The 19,882-nt window shown below is 45.0% G+C and overlaps 1 protein-coding gene across 10 annotated transcripts in view, besides 3 other annotated features; it reads right to left on the bottom strand.

Moving 5' to 3' along the window:
• SHLD1 (shieldin complex subunit 1) overlaps positions 1-18,699 on the bottom strand; it is a 114,203-nt gene extending 95,504 nt beyond the window's left edge. For 4 of the 10 annotated variants that reach the window (NM_001303478.2, NM_152504.4, XM_011529181.4 and 1 more), the window contains exon 1: positions 18,413-18,491. Coding sequence is in view for 5 of the 10 variants with exons in the window: in XM_047439931.1 (XP_047295887.1) it covers positions 12,044-12,180; positions 18,413-18,478 (203 nt within the window). In the remaining 5 variants the exon portion in view is untranslated. Of the gene's footprint in view, positions 1-3,707; positions 3,799-12,043; positions 12,181-18,412 lie in introns of all 10 variants that reach the window. The other 6 variants (XM_011529177.3, XM_011529182.3, XM_047439931.1 and 3 more) reach the window with 5 other exon arrangements.
• Positions 6,440-6,489: an enhancer, noted in NCBI's record as "active region_17529". NCBI's record gives its function as "activates an Ori minimal core promoter by ATAC-STARR-seq in GM12878 lymphoblastoid cells {active_cell/tissue: GM12878}" and the evidence as "EXISTENCE:reporter gene assay evidence [ECO:0000049][PMID:35858748]".
• Positions 8,113-8,262: an enhancer, noted in NCBI's record as "active region_17528". NCBI's record gives its function as "activates an Ori minimal core promoter by ATAC-STARR-seq in GM12878 lymphoblastoid cells {active_cell/tissue: GM12878}" and the evidence as "EXISTENCE:reporter gene assay evidence [ECO:0000049][PMID:35858748]".
• Positions 18,616-18,665: an enhancer, noted in NCBI's record as "active region_17527". NCBI's record gives its function as "activates an Ori minimal core promoter by ATAC-STARR-seq in GM12878 lymphoblastoid cells {active_cell/tissue: GM12878}" and the evidence as "EXISTENCE:reporter gene assay evidence [ECO:0000049][PMID:35858748]".

Below are 19,882 nucleotides of genomic sequence, written 5' to 3'. Positions count from 1 at the left end.
AGAACTGTCCATGATACGTTAAATGTGGTGAGCATAGCCGCCTTCCAAGCAGTTGACCTGGGCTTGATTCCCAGCCAATGTGCCCACGTGCATACACACACATGATATATTCAATGTAAAAAGGTTCTAAAACATTAAGTAGGGTTTGATCCAGATTATATAAAATAAAATGCCATGTGTAAGATGTATGTGTAAGAAATATAGATAGATAAAGCTAGGAGGAAAAATGTCTAGAAGGGTATATCCAGTGAATTAATTTCACTAGTTATCTGGGTAATATGATTACAGGTGATTTGCATTTTCCTCTACGGACCAAACATGCAGTCAGTCAATTATTTAATGTGACAGGCCTGGTGCCAGGCACTGGGAACACAAAGGTGAATGTCACAGACCCTTCCCTCCTAGTTTGGAGTGACCCAAACACAGACACATACCTTGTTAACACAGTGAGTCAAGACAGAAGAGCCCAGAAGGGGCAGGAGGCTTTCTGGAAGAGGTTCTCCCCAAGCGTGGGGCAGGCCAGCCATGGCTAGGGGAAAGTGTGCACTCAGGAAGAACCAGCTCGGACAAGCACAGTGCCACAGCGTATCAGGGGTTTAAAGTGAGTGTCAAGAATTGGCTGGGCGTTGTGGCTCAAGTGCTGTAATCCCAGCACTTTGGGAGGCCAAGGCGGGTGGATCACCTGAGGTCAGCAGTTTCAGACCAGTCTGGCCAACATGGTGAAACCTCTTCTCTACTAAAACTATAAAATTAGCTGGGCATGGTGGCACACACCTGTAATCCCAGCTACTTGGGAGGTTGAGGCCCAAGAATTGCTTGAACCCGGGAGGCAGAGGTCGCAGTGAGCCGAGATCACACCACTGCACTCCAGCCTGGGTGAAAAAGCAAGACTCTGTCTCAAAAAAAAAAAAAAAAAGAATTCGTCACTCAGTGAGTAAACGGGAAAGGACAAACTCTGTGGTCTCAGCTGGATGGCTACAGAGCCCTTCTCCTCCTGTAGCCAGCTCTGGGAAGGCCTGGCTGCTATCAGCAACTTGGATACAAAGACTCTTTAATTAAGCTCTGGAAACCTCCAAGGTGGCTTAGTGGATTCAGCATTTGGACATTACACTAGGTGTTCCCTACCCCTCCATTACTCTCTGACTCATAAGTTGCTGTCATCAATAACTCTTATGATAGCTGGCACCAGGTGTCATGAGTGCCATGGGCACATGCAGAGCAGTTATCAGGTCAGATCTGCAGATTTGACAGCTGGGTAGCAGGTGGACTTGTCGCACTTAAGCCTGGTGGCAGGCAATCTCATGAACAAGAATTCATTCGCCTGCAGTGGTCCGGGTGGGAAAGGAAGAGCACATGAATGAGGTCAGGGACCCACGGGTCAAGAATAGATTCAGAGAGATTAAGAATAGATTTACTAACTGAAATGAGAGTAGAACTTAATAAATGAATAAAGAGGCCAGGCGCGGTGGCTGATACCTGTAATCCCACCACTTTGGGAGGCTGAGGCAGGAGGATTGCTGCTCAAGAATTTGAGACCAGCCTGGGCAACATAGCAAGACCTTGTATCTATTAAAAATTTAAAAAATACATGTTAGCCAGGCAGAGTGGTGCATGCCTGTAGTCCCAGCAACTCGGGAGGCTGAGATGGGATGATCACTTGAGCCAGGCAGTTGGGGATACAGTGATGCGAGATTGTGCCACTGCACTCCAGCTTGGGTGACAGAGCGAGACTCTGTCTCAAAAAGAAAAGAAAAGAAAAGAAAAGAAAATGTGAATGGAGAAATGTGTTAAAGAGGAGCTGAGAGTCAACAAGGAGAGACAGTTTCGGTGACTGGGTTTTTTATTAACTGGGTTAGAGGTGACAGGAAAAGAAACAGTTTTCAGAGGAGGCAATATCCAAATTATGGCATCCTATGCAGCTGTTAAAACGACAGTCAGAACTTCAAAGATCTCAAAAACATATGTTTGCATGAAAGAAGTAATTTCAGACTGGGCATGGTGGCTCAAGCCTGTAATCCTAGCACTTTGGGAGGCAGAAGTGGGAGGACTGCTTGAGGCCAAGAGTTCAAGACCAACCTGGCCAACATAGCCAGACCCTGACGCTATAAGAAGAGAAAAAATATAATTAATTTTAAAAAGAAGTAATTTCAGAATAACATGAGCAGTGTAATCATAAGAGTAGTTCCCATTTATTGAATGCTTGTTAGAGGCCAGGCATTGTGCTAAGAGCTTCATCTGTCACAACCCTATGAGGCAGGTAATCCTATCAGTACCCTCTTTAACAGTCAGACTCAGACACAGAGAGTAGTAAAGTCACTTGCCCAGGGAAACACATCTCGAAAGCAGCCAAGCTAGGATGAACGCAGCCAAAAGTCCTCCCAGCATCCTGTGTCTGCATAGCCCCAGTATTGCAGCCTAAACTACCATGCGATTAGGCAAAGATAGGAGACATATTAAAACAAATCAACAGTGAGACCTGGCAAGATCTTTTTGTTTGAGGACACCCAGTCACGTGCTGTTGTACACATTCGCTCAGGCTGAGAGTGAGCCAAGCTATCAGCTGGTTGGTCTTGAAAGGAATGGAGTGATCAAGGTTCCTAAAGAAGCAAGAACATCCTGTCTTTTCACAGGTTCTATATTAGCCAACCAAGCCTGAAGCTTCAGCAAACACCTCTGCACCAGGCAACTCTGTCCTCCCCCTTCTCCCTTCATGTTACCTAACACTCTGCTCTAGAGGCTTCTGGAAGGGAACAAACGGGTCAATGAATGATGCTGGCATATCCTGCCTGCCTGCAAAGGTGCCGTGAAATCAACCATCAACTGAGAGTGTCATCAGCAATATGAAATGAATGGAATCCTTTTTGAAAACAAATAGCACATTGAAATGATACCTATATTTTCTTTGTTTTCAGAATCACTTAAATGCCAAATACATCACAAACTGGGAACTGGACCACAAAAAGAAGACATGTCAGCTGGGCGCAGTAGCTGATGTCTGTAATCCCAGCACTTTGGGACCCCGAGATGGGTGGATCACGTGAGGTCAGGAGTTTGAGACCAGCCTGGCCAACATAGTGAAACCCTGTCCTCTACTTAAAAAAAAAAAAAAAAAAAAAAAAAAAGGATTTGTGCGTATAAAATACATTATTTGGGACTCAGTGAATTTGTACGGAAGTAAAAAACCAGAAGTGGAGGCAGATTAAACCCTTCCTGTGGTGTGAACAACCTTGGGCCAGCAAGTAGAATGTAATTATTATCCTTTGTCCCAAACCTTTTGATAATGTGGTTCAACTTCCTTCTCTAGAAGTGCTTATTTTCCTCTCTTAAGGGTGATTTAATTACGTGGCCTGGCGTGGTGGCTCACACCTGTAATCCCAGCACTTTGGGAGGCTGAGGTGGGTGGATCACAAGGTCAGAAGTTTGAGACCACCCCGGCCAATATGGTGAAACCCCCGTCTCTACTAAAAATACAAAAAAAATTAGCCGGGTGTGGTGACGTGCACCTGTAGTCCCAGCTACTCAGTAGGCTCAGGCAGAAGAATCACTTGAACCCAGGAGGCGGAGGTTGCAGTGAGCTGAGATCGTGCCACTGCACTCCAGCCTGGGTGACAAAGTGAGACTCTGTCTCAAAAAATAAATAAATAAACAAATATGAAAAAAAGTTATTGTAAATATTCTTTTTTTTTTCTGCGCACAGTGGCTCACACCTGTAGTCCCAGCACTTTGCGAGGCCAAGTTGGGAGGATCGCTTGAGGCCAGGAGTTCAAGACCAGCCTGGGCAACATAGCAAGACCTTGTCTGTAAAAAAAATTAAAATAATAAATAAATAAACATTCTTTTTCAATACTGGAGAGTAGGGTTCCCTGGGTTGCAGGCACAAGAAGTCTCTAAGTATAGGGCATAAAAACCTGTTTACCAGGAGGAGACAGCCATTCTTCTATTACTCTACAGATTCTTACAGACCTACAAATACAAGTCAATCAAGGTGCACACATAAGAAGTGATTTCACTTCACTTATTTTTCTTCCATTCAGCCACTTCCCTCCAAATATTTTGCATGAAAAGTTTCAAACATCCATAGAGCTACCCCTAGACTCTTTCTATGACTTGCTTCATCACACAACGATCCATCTATCCAACTTTCTACCCACTCATCAATTCATCATATTTTTAAAACACATTATTTCCATTTATATCTTAATAAAAGGTCTGATGCCCAGGCTGGAGTGCAGTGGTGTGATCGTAGCTGACTACAGCCTCAACCTCCTGGGCTCAAGTGATCCTCCTGTGTTGGCTTCCTGAGTAGTTGGGACTGCAGGCATGAGACACCATACTTGGCAAAATTTTTTTTTTTTTTTTTTTTTGAGACAAGGTCTCACTATATTGCCCAGGCTGGTCTTGAATTCCTGGGCTCAGGCCAGCCATCTTCACACTCTGGCTCCCCAAAGTGCTGAAATTACAGGCATAAGCCACCTCACTTGGCCTTTACAATCTGCATTTTTGAACACTCTGTTAGCTGAAGGAAGCATGAATTGGAGAACCATACTCATTTGTGGAGTTAAAGAGAATGGGTTTGAACCCCTGCTGTCACTTTTTAGCTGTGTTACTTTGGACAAGTCACTTAACCTGTTCTATAAATAGACAAAGAAATGTATATATATATATATATATACACACACACAAATATATATATATATAAAATATATATATATAAAAATATATATATATATATAAATATAAATATATATATATTTTTTTTTTTTTTGAGACAGAGCCTTGCTCTGTCACCCAGGCTGGAGTGCAGTGGCACGATCTCGACTCACAGCAGCCTCCGCCTCCTGGGTTTAAGCAATTATCCTGCCTCAGTCTCCCGAGTAGCTGGGATTACAGGTGCATGTCACCATGCCCAGCTGATTTTTCTATTTTTTTTTTTTTTTTTTTTTTTAGTAAAGACGGGGTTTCACCATGCTGACCAGGCTGGTCTTGAACTCCTGACCTCAAGTGATCCACCCACCTCAGCCTCTCAAAGTGCTGGGATTACAGGCGTGAGCCATTGCGCCCGGCCAGTTTCCTTGTCTATAAAATGGCTTGATGATGTAAACCAAAAAGTATCTGAGACAGGTCTCAATCAGTTTAGAAGTTTATTTTGCTGACTTTAAGGACATGTCCAGAAGAAATAAACCAGAATCACAGGAACTGCCGGTGGTCTGTGCCTTTTTCCAAAGATGAATTTGAGAGCTTCAATATTTAAAAGGGAAAAGTGGGCTTAGGGGAAAGAGGAAGAGTATGGTTGTCCATGTGTCACAAGAGAAAAGGAACAGGCAGGAGAATCGTCAATTACACATTGGTCTCATGCTCAGTAAATGGGCACTTTACAGAAGATAAGATGAACATACAGTAGCTACCTGTGGAGATATTTAACCTTTTACCTGTAGTATTCTACTTAGGAACAAAAGGAAAGACAGCTTCTTGCATGACTCAGCTTTCAGCTTAATTTGTTCCTTTTGGCAGAGTCAACTGGGGTCCTGACTTTTTATTTTCCTTTTACAATGATAATACTTATCTTACAGGCACAGTTCTTTTTTTTTTTTTTTTTTTTTTGAGATGGAGTTTTGCTCTTGTTGCCCAGGCTGGAGTGCAATGGCGCAACCTCCGCCTCCCAGGTTCAAGCGATTCTCCTGCCTCAACCTTCTGAGTAGCTGGGATTACAGGCATGCGCCACTACGCCTGGATAATTTTGTGTTTTTAGTAGAGACGGGGTTTCTGCGTGTTGGTCAGGCTGGTCTCGAACTCCTGACCTCAGGTGATCCGCCTGCCTCGGCCTCCCAAAGTGCTGGGATTATAGGCGTGAGCCACTGTGCCCAGCCACAGACACACTTCTTTGTGGCAATTAGGTGCTATTTTTTTTTTTTTTTTTTTTGAGACGGAGTCTCACTCTGTCACCAGGTTAGAGTGCAACGGCGCGATCTCGGCTCACTGCAACCTCCGCCTCCCAGGTTCAAACAATTCCCCTGCCTCAGCCTCCCAAGTAGCTGGGACTACAGGCGCGCACTACCACACCTGGCTAATTTTTTGTATTTTAGTAAAGACTGAGTTTCACCATGTTGGCCAGGATGGTCTCTGTTTCCTAACCTCGTGACCCACCTGCCTCAGTCTCCCAAAGTGCTGGGATTACAGACGTGAGCCACCACGCCTGGCCTGTGGTGCTATTTTTACTTTCTCTTTCACAGTCTGCTGCCTTCATATGGCGGGAAATGACAAGTGCCTCCCCCACAATAGCCAAGGGACTCAGCAAGTACCCAAAAAGTGTTGAGCAGGCACTGGTCCCCAAATCCTGCAGGTGAGAAAGACTAACATTTTTGTTATTAAATGTACCTGCTGGTTTGCTCACTTTTATTTCTGCCATTGGCCAAAAGCTCACCCCTCTACATCATTACCCACTCAGAGAGTATGGCTGGATTCCCAGATCCAGTGGGCCTGTGGGGTTAATTCGGGCTAGGGTGAGTTTAGAAGTGACTTAGGCATCAGCTTGTTATTTATTTATTTCTAATTCCCTTCCCTTAAATGCATGTTGTGAAAAATCTAAAGAGAGAAGGTATTTCTAAACCAAAACTGGTGTCAATAAATAAAAGAATTTTTTTTTTTTCTGAGACAGAGTCTCACTCTGTCACCCAGGCTGTTGTGCAATCTCGGCTCACTGCAACCTCTGCCTCCCAGGTTCAAGCAATTCTCTTGCCTCAGCCTCCCGAGTAGCTGGGATTACAGGTGCCCACCACCACACCCATCTAAATTTTATATTTTTAGTAGAGATGAGGTTTCACCATGTTGGTCAGGCTGGTCTTGAACTCCTGACCTCAGGTGATCTACCTGCCTCAGCCTCCCAAAGTGCTAGGATTACAGGTGTGAGCCACCTGTAATTTTTAGTGAAAAAAAAATACTTACCTTCTAGAGATGTCATAAGAATTATATGAAATTAATACATGAGGCCGGGTGCAGTGGCTCATGCCTGTAATCTCAGCACTTTGGTAGGCCGAGGCAGGTGGATGACTTGAGGTCAGTAGTTCGAGAGCAGCCTGGCCAACATGGTAAAACCCCATCTCTACTAAAAATACAAAAATTAGCTGGGCGCGGTGGCGTGCACCTGTAATCCCAGCTACTTGGGAGGCTGAGGCAGGAGAATCACTTGAACCTGGGAAGCGGAGGTTGCAGTGAGCCGATATCACACCACTGCACTCCAGCCTGGGCGACAAAGTGAGCCTCCATCTCAAAAAAAAAAAAAAGAAATTAAGACATGAAAAATATTTAGCACAGTATCTGTGGCTCACTGATGGCTAGCTCTGATAAGTAAAATAGTAATCATTAAGAAACAAATTACAGGCTCCTATCTTCTCAGCCTGCCTCTAGTTCACTTGCTCCTCTGTTTCCCATCCAGGGGCCATTTTGTTTCTTTCATCCTTTTTTTTTTTTTAATTTTACTTTAAGTCCTGGGATACATGTGCAGAAGGTGCATATTTGTTATGTAGGTATACATGTGCCATGGTGGTTTACTGCACCTATCAACCCGTCATCTAGGTTTTAAGCCCTGCATGCATTAGATATTTGTCTTAATGCTCTCTTTCCCCTTGACCCTAACCCCTGACAGGCCCCAGTGTGTGATGTTCCCCTCCCTGTGTCCCTGTGTTCTCACTGTTCAACTCCCACTTATGAGTGAGAACATGTGGTGTTTGGTTTTCTGCTCCTGTGTTAGTTTGCTGAGAATGATGGCTTCCAGCTTCATCCATGTCCCTGCAAAGGACATGAACTCATTGTTTTTTATGGCTGCAGCTTCTTTCATCCTTATCCAGTACGTTCTATGATCCATAATCTTGTTAATGTCCTAAACTTCCCTCCCCCTCCCCATTTTGTCCTTTCATCACACCCCTTTGGCAAAACCCCAGCCTAGATGAACTCAACCACCCCTCACTCTCCATGTGAGTCACCAAACAGGGCAGATTGGCTGTGCTCTAGGTGAACAAGTGTCAACCTGAAACAGGCTGTCTCACTAAATGAATACTAAAATGCTTATTTCGTAACTGTCTCTTCTCTTCTCCTTGACCACTTCATGTTTTCTCCACTCTTCTTCAATGCAGACCCTCCTCCAACACTCACACACCTTCCTCCTCTTTTTCATAATCACCTTGTTGTTTTTTTTTTATTTTTTAGACAGAGTCTCGCTCTGTCGCCCAGGCTGGAGTGCAGTGGCATGATCTCGGCTCACTGCAACCTCCTCCTCCCGGGCTCAAGCAATTCTCCTGCCTCAGCCTCCCGGATAGCCAGGACTACAGGTGCAAGCCACCATGCCCGACTAATTTTTGTATTTTAAGTAGAGACAGGGTTTTGCCATGTTGGTCAGGCTGGTCATGAACTCCTGACCTTAGGTGATCCACCCGTCTCAGCCTCCCAAAGTGTTGGGATTACAGGTGTAAGCCACCAAGCCCGGCCTCATCTTGGTCCTTAATTCACACACACACACATACAGAAGCCAGCAGAGAGGAACTTCCTAAACTCCCCTATCAAACATAACAAAGCCTCCCACACCTGCACTCCACTTCACCTCTCCTTGCAACTGCGGAGCTGACCCTCCCCTAGCAAAGGCCCCCCTCACACACACACACCTGGGTTTTACATCCCACTCTCTAGACCTTTCCAGAAGCCTTCAGCAACAACAATCCCTTCTCTGTTTTCTGTTCGACTGGACCTTTCACTTAAACTCTTCAACATACCCAAATCTCCCCCATTTTCAACAAAAAAGAGGATGTTCATTGGAAATGCCACTTAAATATTTAAAGATAAGGAGACATGATGTCTGCAATATACTGTCAAATATAGATGTATATGTATATGTGTGTGTGTGTGTGTGTGTATAAAAATACAGAGACAGAGAATGATAAAGTAAATGGTTAAATGGTGCAAGTGTAGATAACTGATGAATCTGGAAAACATTATTTGGGAACTCTTTGTACTAGTCTTGCATTTTTTTTAAGATATAAAATTATATCAAAATAAAAAGTTGGCTGGGCACAGTGGCTAATGCCTGCAATCCTAGCAATTTGGGAAGCCAAGGCAGGTAGATTGCTTGAGCCCAATAATTTGAGACCAGCCTGGGTAACATGGTGAAACCCCATCTCTACAAAACAAACAAACAAAAAAAATTAGCAAGTCGTGGTGGCAAGTACCAGTACTCCCAGCTACTTAGGAGGCTGAGGTGGGAGGATCACTTGAGCTCAGGAGGTCGAGGCTACAGTCAGCTGTGATTATGCCACTGCACTCCAGCCTGAGCAGCAGAGCTAGACCCTGTCTAAAAAATTTTTAGACCGTAATCCCAGCACTTTAGGAGGCCAAGGTGGGTGGATCACTTGGGGCCAGAAGTTCGAGACCAGCCTTGCCAACATGGTGAAATCCCATCTCTAGTAAAAATACAAAAAATTATCTGGGCGTGGTTGTGGACACCCATAATCCCAGCTACTGGAGAGGCTGAGGCATGAGAATCGCTTGAAGCCAAGAGGCAGAGGTTGCAGTGAGCTGAGATTGCACCACTGTACTCCAGCCTGGGCAATAGAGCAAGACTTTCAAAAAAAAAATTAATTAAAAAAAGGTGTCGGCTGGGCACCGTGGCTCATGCCTGTAATCCCAGCACTTTGGGAGGCCGAGGTGGGCGGATCACGAGGTCAGGAGTTTGAGACCAGCCTGGCAACATAACGGAACCCCGTCTCTACTAAAAATACAAAAAATTAGCTGGGCGTGGTGGCGGGTGCCTGTAATCCTAGCTACTTGGGAGGCTGAGGCAGGAGAATCACTTGAAGCCAGGAGATGGAGGTTGCAGTGAGCAGAGATCGCGCCATTGCACTCTATCCCGGTGGGCAGTGCGAGACTCCATCTCAGAAAAAAAAAAAAAAAAAAACTTGTCAAGAAAGATGAGAAAAAAAAAAAAACACATTTGACATCTGCTCTCCTCATAGCTAGTCCCCTCTCCCCTCCACAGACTTCTCAAAAGACCCCACAATTGGCTCATTTCAACTCATAACTTGCAGGTACTTCTTTTCTTTTCAGGATGACCTTCCCAAAGCGTCCTCCCACCTCTTTGCCTGTTCCTATCCTCCATCTCAAAATGGACTTCCTTAAAACTTGGCCCAAGGCCAGGTGCAGTGGCTCACACCTGTAATCCCAGCACTTTGGGAGGCTGAAGTTGGTGGATCACAAGGTCAGCAGTTTGAGACCAGCCTGACCAACATGGTGAAACCCCCCATCTCTACTAAAAATACAAAAATTAGCCAGGCATGATGACAGACACCTATAATCCCAGCTACTCGGAAGGCTGAGGCAGGAGAATCACTTGAACTCAGGGGGTGGAGGTTGCAGTGAGCTGAGATCGTGCCATTGCACTCCAGCCTGGACAACAGAGCGAGACTCCATCTAAAAAAAAAAAATATAAAAAAAAATAATACTTGGCCCAAAGCTCACTTCCTTCCCTTCCTTTCCCTTCCCCTCCCCCTCTCCTTCCCCTCCCCCTCCCTTCCCCTCCCCTCCCCTCCCTTCCCTTCCCTTTCCTTCTCTGAGACATTAATTACCACCAAGAAACATCTCTAGCCCAAATCCCCCCACCTTAGCTTGTACCTCAGGCCCCCTCACTGTCCCTGCATCTGACATAATGGACCTCCTTCAGGTTCTCCAATTTACCCTGCTTCCTCCCACTGCACTTGTCCTTCCTTCCAGCAGAGGTGCATCTCCCTCTCCTGGATAACGCTTCTAACACATGGAAGAGGAGGAAACGCTTCTCAATTCACTCTATGCATCCTGTATTACCCTGACATCAGGGTATTTACCTGCATCAAAGCCAGGTAAAGATAGCGCAAGAAATCAAATCTAGCAACATATAAGAGGATCATACTCTAACATGGACCTAATCCCAGGAATTCAAAGTTGTTTTAACATTTGAAAATAATTGATGTGGACTGGGCATGGTGGCTCATGCCTGTAATCCCAGTACTTTGGGAGGCTGAGGCGGGTGGATCACCTGAGGTCAGGAGTTCAAAACCAGTCTGGCCAACATGGTGAAACCCCATCTCTACTAAAAATACAAAAATTAGCCAGGTGTGGTGGTGGGCACCTGTAATCCCAGGTACTCGGGGGGCTGAGGCAGGAGAATTGCTTGAACCTGGGAGGCGGAGGTTGCAGTGAGCAGAGTTGGTGCCACTGCACTCCGGCCTAGGCAACAAGAGTGAAACTCCATCTCATAAAAAGAAAAGAAAAGAATTGCTGTAATATGCTACATTAGTAGAATAAAGGACAAAACCCAAAACAGATACACACATATACACACACACACAAGTTTTTGACAAAGTCAAACACCCTTTCATGATTAAAATACTCCACAAAGTTAGAATAGAAATAAACTTCCTCAACCTGATAAAGGGCATTTTTGAAAAACCCATAGTTTATCAAGTAGGTTGCTAAGTAAAAAAATAAAAAATAAAGAGAGAAAAAGGCTGGGCATAGTGGCTTACACCAGGCACTTTGGGAGGTCAAGGTGGACAGACTGCTTGAGGCCAGGAATTCGAGACCAGCCTGGCCAACATGGTAAAATCCCATCTCTACTAAAAATACAAAAAATAGCTGGGCGTGGTGGTGTACTTTGTAATCCCAGCTACCCTGTAACTCTCCTGCTAAGGCAGAAGAATCACTTGAACCCAGGAGGCAGAGGTTGCAGTGAGCCAAGATTGCACCACTGTACTCCAGCCTGGGTGACAGAGCAACTCTGTCTCAAAAAAAAAAAAAAAAAAAGAAAGAAAGAAAAAAAGAAAAAGAAAAACCCATAATTAATACCATACTTCATGGTAAAAGACTGAATGCTTTTCCCTCAAAGATTAGGAACAAGATAAGGATGTCTACTCTTATCACTTCTATTCAATATTGTACTAGAAGCCTTAGCCAGGGCAATTAGGCAGGGACATTCAGATTGGAGAGGGAACAGTAAAACTATCTCTATTAGCAGATATGATCTTACATATAGAAAATCCTAGGCCAGATGTGGTGGCTTACGCCTGTAATCCCAACACTTTGGGAAGCTGATGGAAGACGGAGGTTGCAGTGAGCTGAGATTGTCATTGTACTCCAGCTTGGGCTACAAGAGTGAGACTCCATCTCAAAAAAAAAAAAAAAAAAAGAAAGAAAGAAAGAAAATGAAAATCCTAAGGAATCTGCTAAAAAAAATCTTATAGAATGAATAAAGTTAAACAAGGTCACATGATACAAGATCAATGCAGAAAAATCATTCATATTTATGTATGCTAGCAATAAATGATCACAAAATTAAGAACACAATTCCATTTACAATGGCATAGAAAAGAATACAATCCTAGAAATACATTAAAGACATGTAAGATGTATACTGAAAACTATTTTTAAATGTTGGAAGAAATAAAAGATCTAAAGGAATGGAAAGCTATCCCATGTTCGTGGATCAAAAGACTTAATATTTTAAGATGGCAATGTCCCCCAAATAGAAATATCTTTGATATTTAGGTCACTAAAGATCAATATAATGCTTAAAAATTTTTTTTTTTTGTAAAGATGGGGGTCTCACTATATTGCCCAGGCTGATCTCAAACTCCTAGGCCCAAGCAATCCTCCCACCTTGGCCTACCGAAGTGCTGGGATTACAGACATGAGCCACAAAGAAAACCTGAAAAACTAGTTCAGGCGATGATGGAAAGGGGGGTCAGAGATGCCTCCTTATACTTTTCTCTCTTCGAAGTGTAGGCACAACTGACCAGCCTTAACATTAAAATAGAGATCATAAGACTGACAAAACAGATTCTTCATAGCAATAAGATACGCAACTCCAACCTGACTCTGGTATAGCATCACATGACTGCAGGCCCTGAAGGAAATCAAAGGATTTTACCCCAAAACATATTTTCTTTGTCATAGTTTGAAATGGCTCTGCAAAGCCATCTTTTGAGGGGACATTTGCATGCTATCAAAATGTTTTTCCCGCCAGACGTGGTGGCCCATGCCTGTAATCCCAGCACTCCAGGAAGCCGAGGTGGGCGGATCACTTGAGGTTGAGAGTTTGAGACCACCCTGACCAACATGGAGAAACCCCGTCTCTACTAAAAATACAAAATTAGCCAGGCGCGGTGGTGCGTGCCTGTAATCCCAGCTACTGGGGAGGCTGAAGCAGGAGAACCGCTTGAACCTGGGAGGCGGAGGTTGTGGTGAGCCTAGATGACACCATTCCACTCCAGCCTGGGCAACAAGAGTGAAACTCCATCTCAAAAAAAAAAAGAAAAAGAAAAAGAAAATGTTCTTCCCTTACTACAGTAGCCCCCAACCTTTCTGACACCAGGGACCAGTTTCATGGAAGACAATTTTTCCATGGACTGGGGGTGGGGGGACGGTTTTGGGATGAAACTGTTCTACTTCCGATCATCAGGCATTAAATTCTCATGAGGAACACACAACCTAGATCCCTTGCATGTGCAGTTCACAATAGGGTTCACACTCATATGAGAATCTAATACCACCACTGATGTAACAGGAGGCAGAGCTCAGAGAGTAATGCTAGTTCGCCTGCCACTCACCTCCAGACTGGTGCTGGTCCATGGCCCGGGGATTGAGGATCCCTGCCTTAGTAGGTCTCATCCAGAAGCCTCTTTTAAGGCCTTGTAAGAGATATTTAGTACCTATTCTCTCTAAAGCCTGTTACTTAGAGGCTTCATCTATACAACAAGAACCTTGGCTCCCACAAACCCCCTTAACTCAAGCATTTCTCTTCTTTTTTCTTTTTTTTTTTTTGAGACAGGGTCTCGCTCTGTTGCCCAGGCTGGAGTGCAATGGCACGATCTCGGCTCACTGCAACCTCCACCTCCCAGGTTCAACCAATTCTCCTGCCTCAGCCTCCCGAGTAGCTGGAATTACAGGCATGTGCCACCACGCCCAGGTAATTTTTGTATTTTTAGTAGAGATGGGGTTTCACCATGTTGGCCAGGCTGGTCTTGAACTTTTGACCTCAGGTGATCCGCCCGCGTCGGCCTCCCAAAGTGCTGGCATTACAGGCGTGAGCCACCACGCCCGGCCCAACTCAAGCATTTCTTTATGCTGATTTCAACACTTCAGGCAAAGCAACCAATTGCCAATCAGTTTGAATTCACCTATGACCTGAAACCCTCTCCCCAAACATTTATACATTTTGAGGCCTAAAATGTATAAAACCAAGCTGTAATCTAACTACCTTGGGCACAAGTTCTCAGGACCTCCTGATGCTGTGTTACGGGCCATGGTCACTCATATTTGGCTCGGAATAAACCTCTTTAAATATTTTACAGAGTTTGGCTTTTTTCATCAACAATGGGAAAGGAGGTCAGACATACCTTGTTATAACCACCTCTTTTTGGAGTTTAGGCACAAATGACCAGCATTAATGTTAAAAATAGAGATCATGGCCAGGTGCAGGGGCTGACACCTGTAGTCCCAGCACTTTGGGAGGCTGAGGCAGGAAGATCACTTAAGCCCAGGAGTTCAAGACCAGCCTGCGCAACATGGTGAAAACCCGACTCTACAAAAAATACAAAAACTAGCCAGGCATGGTGGTGCCTGCCTGTAGTCCTAGCTACTCAGAAGGCTGAGATGGGAGGATTGCTTGAGCCCAGGAGGTTGAGGCTGCAGTGAGCTGAGATGACACCACTGCATTCCAGCCTGGGTGACAGAGCAAGACCCTGTCTCAAGAAAAAAAAATAGATCATATGACTGACAAAACAGACTCTGTGGCAATAAGATACCAAATTATGGCTAGGTGTGGTGGCTCATGCCTGTAATCCCAGCACTTCTGAAGCGGCGTCGTTTGTCTGCGGTAATACCCAAGGTTCACTGTCTCATGACAAGGAAATCAAAGACGCTAACACACAAGGAGTGTGTTTAAGAGAGGAAAGTCTAATAGGCAAAAGAGAAAAGCTCTCCCATGCAGAGGGAGGGGGGTTCCGAACGGATCTCCCCCATTTGGGGCAAGATGAGGTTGGTTTTATAGATGAGCTTGAGGAGCCAGTGTCTGATTTACATAGGGCACAGAGAGAGGGTTGGTTGGACCAGGTGTGCCTTTAACAAAGCATGCTAAGAGGCTGGCCATCCCACCCTAATCTTTTATTATACAAATAGAGATTTAACCTGGCCAGTGCCATGTTGCTTGTACACGTGGCGACAAAGTAAAGGGAAGAGGAAACCTCTATGTTGAATATACCTGGCTTCCAGAAATCCCTTTTCTAGTGGCACAGCTGCCGGCATTTACCTATGCAAGCTTCCAGCTTGCTTATCTACGCTTGCAGCTTGATTTTTCAGGCTGTTTTTTGTTAGAAATGATTTGGGGCTGCTTTTTATTAAAAGGAAAACTTTACCAAGGACTCCCTAACCCTCGCTAACTGCCTAATTAATTTCTTTTTAGCTTCTGTATCACTTTGGAAGGCCGAGGTGGGAGGATCCTTTGAGACCAGGAGTTCGACTCCAGCCTGGGCCACACGGCAAGACCCTGTCTCTATGTTTTATATTTATATATATTGTTAAAAAAGATACCAAATTATAAACAAGACCTAGGCCATGCAAGACATAGGTTAGGATACATCCTACAGACCATAAAATCTTGTTAAATGGGATTTTCTTTTTTTATTAACCTGGTATAATGTGGCTTATCTTCCAACCTGACACTGGTATAGCATCACATGACAGATAGCAAACCCTGAATGAAATAAAAATATTTTATGTCGGCCAGGTGCGGTGGCTCATGCCTGTAATCCCAGCACTTTGGGAGGCAGAGGCGGGTGGATCACTTGAGGTCAGGAGTTTGAGACCAGCCTGACCAACATGGTGAAACCCCCCCATCTCTACTGAAAATACAAAAAATTAGCTAGGCATGGCAATGCGTGCCTGTAATCCCAGCTACGCCGTAGGCTGAGGCAGGAGAATCGCTTGAACCCAGGAGGTGGAGGTTGCAGTGAGCTGAGACTGCGCCACTGCACTACAGCCTAGGTGACAGGGCAAGACTCCATCTCAAAAACAAACAAACAAACAAAATACAAAAATTAGTCAGGTGTGGTGGTGCACACCTGTAATCCCAGCTGCTCCAGAAGCTGAGACGGAGAACTGCTTGAACCTGGGAAGCAGAGGTTGCAGTGAGCCGAGATCGCACTACTGCACTCCAGTTTGGGTGACAGAACAAAGACTCTGCCTCAAAAAAAAAAAAAAAAAACCCCAAAATATATTTCTTTGACATATTTTAAAATGGCCCTACAAAGCTACAAAGCTGTCTTTTGTAACAGAAATTTGCATCTGTAGAGAATCTCCATTAATGCAGCCAGGATTTCCTTTTCTAGGCCTTTCCCAGATCCAGGAAAGATTAATTCTGACACCTAAATTTCCAAAAAGAGACATTTACCATCTATTCTCTCTTTTTTGTTTTTTTTTTTTTTGAGATGGAGTCTCACTCTGTCATCCAGGCTAGAGTGCAGTAGTGCGATCTCAGCTCACTGCAACCTTTGTCTCCTGGGTTCAAGCAATTCTTGTGTCTCAGCCTTCCAAGTAGCTGGGATTACAGGCGCACGCCACCGTGCCTGGCTAATTTTTTTATTTTTCGTAGAGATGGTGTTTCATCATGTTGGCCAGGCTGGTCTTGAACTCCTGACCTCAAGTGATCTGCCTGCCACGGCCTCACAAAGCGTTGAGATTACAGGTGTGAGCCATGGAGCCCAGCCCATCTCTAGTCATGGCACCTAGCCCATCTATTCTCTGAGGCTGCTACTCACACTTCATCTACGTAACAAGGACCTTGAACCACACAACTCCCTTATCTTAGTTCAAGCATTCTTTTCTACTGACTTCAAGTCTTTAGACAAAGCTTAACTCTCTCAAGCAACTGTCAGCTAAAGAATCCCTAAAATCCACCTAAGACTTCTAAGACCACCCTTGGACATATCCACCTTTTTGGGTCTAACCAATGTATACCTTCCATGTATTGATTTATGTCTTTGCCTGTTAACTCCTGTCTCCCTAAAATGTAAAAAAAACAAACTATAACCCAACTGCCTCGGGATCACTTACTAAAGACTTTTTGGGTTTGTGTTTTCTCTCTGGGCGATGGTCAATCATACTGGCTCAGAATAAACCGCTTTAAAATAGTTTACAGAGTTTTATTTATTTGCTAACAGTCTGACACATGATACAAAGACAAGCTTTGAAAATATTATACATAGTATAAGAAGATAGCCGGGCGTGGTGGCTCACACCTGTAATCTCAGCACTTTGAGAGGCTGAGGCAGGTTGATCAAGAGCTGAGGAGTTCAAGACCAGCCTGGCCAAGATGGTGAAACCTCGTCTCTACTAAAAATACAAAAATTAGTCGAACGTGGTGGCAGGCGCCTGTAGTCCCAGCTACTCGGGAGGCTCAGGCAGGAGACTAGCTTGAACCTGGGCAGCAGAGGTTGCAGTGAGCCAAGATCGTGCCACTATACTCCAGCCTGGGCTACAGAGTGAGAGTCATGAGACTCCGTTTAAAAAAAGAACAAAAGTCATGAAAGAAGCTAGTCACAAAAACATTGACATTATACTTAATGAAAGAAGCCAGCTGCACTGTATGATTTCATTTATATCAAACGTGCGAATTGGCAAGGCTATACAGACAGAAAGTATACTAGCAATTGTCTAGGACTTGAGGCGGAGTGGACGTGGTGAATGTAGAATGACTGCTACTGGAGGCAGGATTTTTCTTTGGAGTGATGAAAGTATTCTAAAATGAGATCACAGTAATAGATGCACAATTCTGTCAACAACAACAAAAAAACCCTTAATGTTACCCTTTATTATTTATTTTTGGGTACGTTGTCTTGCTCTGTCTTCCAGGCTGGAGTGCAGTGGCGCGATCTGGGCTCACTGCAGCCTGGAACTCCGGGGCACAAGCGATTCTCCCACCTCAGTCTCCTGAGCAGCTGGAACTACAGGCGAATGCCACTATGCTAGGCTTGATTTTTTTTTACGCTTTAAATGGGCAAATTTTACTTAGTAGGTGAATAGAAATTTCCCAAGAAAGCTGTTTTTTTGTTTGTTGGTTTTTTAGCAGAACCTCCTGAAGTGGCAGGTCACTGAAAAAATTTAAAAAAAAACAACAAAACCGAAGCTTATCCATACTCACTATCCACAAATTCCCAAAATTCCCCAAAGCACAGGCTGCAGACACCGTGTGTTGGGGCGGAAGGGGCGGGGAGCTAGCAGGAAATCCTGACATGCCTAGGAAAGCCTCCATAACTTCCTAATTGAGAGAGAACGATCAGATGCATTGCTGTGACCCCCGCCCCCACCACTCCAACCCCCCCCCATCCCATCCCGCGCTTACCTCTCCTCCAAAGCACTCCAGAAAACTGAGGAGAAAAGCCGCCAAGCCCCCCGACACACTCACCATCCGCAACCGGAACGCGGAAGCAATGGCGCCATCTTTTTTATGGGAAATGTGAGGTTCGAAGGAAGTCACCGGAGCCATCCTTACTGCGGGCAGTGAAGGGCAATGGAAGCCGGTCGCGGCCATGTTGACTGAGGCTTTTGGCCTGTCAATGAGGCTTGCCACATGTGGCTATTTTGGGCAATTTCCTGAGGAGGCTTGTCGATAAATGTGCTTGGTAAACCCTAAGGGAACAGAAAAAATATTCAAAAATTTAAATGTTGGCCGGGAGCGGTGGCTTACGCCTGTAGTCCCAGCACTTTGGGAGGCTGAGACGGATCACTTGAGGCCAGGAGTTTGAGACCAGCCTGGGCAACATAGGGAGACACTGTCTCTACAAAAAAAATTTTTTTTTAATTAGCGAGGCATGGTGGCACATGTCTGTAGGCCCAGGTAGTTGGGGGGCTGAGGTGGGAGAATTGCTTGAGCCTGAGAGGTCAAGGCTGCAGTTGGCCATGTTCTTGCCACTGCAGTCCAGCCTGGGCAACAGAGCTAGACCTTGCCTTTTAAAAAAAAAAATTCGTCTGGGCTCAGTGGCTCACGCCTGTAATCCCAGCACTTTGGTAGGCCGAGGCAGGAGGATCACCTGAGGTCGGGAGTTCGAGACCAGCCTTACCAACAGAGAAACCCTGTCTCTACTAAAAATACAAAATTAGCTGGGTGTGGTGGTGCAGCCTGTAATCGCAGCTACCCGGGAGACTAAGGCAGGAGAATCGCTTGAACCCAGAAGGTGGAGGTTGTGGTGAGCCAAGATCGTGCCATTGCACTCCAGCCTGGGCAACGAGAGCGAAACTCCGTCTCAAAAAAAAAAATAAATAAAATTCAATGTCTTGGAGAGGGTGGGGTGGCATGCCCCTGTAATCCCACTGCTTTGGGAGGCCAAGATGGGAGGATTACTTGAGGCAAGGAGTTCAAGACCCACCTGGGCAACACAGTGGAGACCTTGTCTCTACAAAATGGTTTTGTTTTTTTTTTTTTGAGACGGAGTCTCGCTCTGTTGCCCAGGCTGGAGTGCGGTGGCGCCATCTCGGCTCACTGCAAGCTCCGCCTCCCGGGTTCACGCCATTCTCCTGCCTCAGCCTCCCAAGTAGCTGGGACTACAGGCGCCCGCTACCACGCCCGGCTAATTTTTTGTATTTTTAGTAGAGACGGGGTTTCACCGTGTTAGCCAGGATGGTCTCGATCTCCTGGCCTCGTGATCCGCCTGCCTGGGCCTCCCAAAGTGCTGGGATTACAGGCGTGAGCCACCGTGCCCGGCCTACAAAATGGTTTTAATAAATAAATAAATAAACTTGAATGTCTACATTTTAAAAATATGAAAAGTAGAAATTAAAGATGAGGATGAAAATATTGTAATATTCTGATGCA

The sequence above is a fragment of the Homo sapiens genome, chromosome 20 (assembly GCF_000001405.40).
Source record: "Homo sapiens chromosome 20, GRCh38.p14 Primary Assembly".
NCBI classification, from domain to species: Eukaryota; Metazoa; Chordata; class Mammalia; order Primates; family Hominidae; genus Homo; species Homo sapiens.
This window is presented reverse-complemented; position numbering and strand designations above follow the sequence as displayed.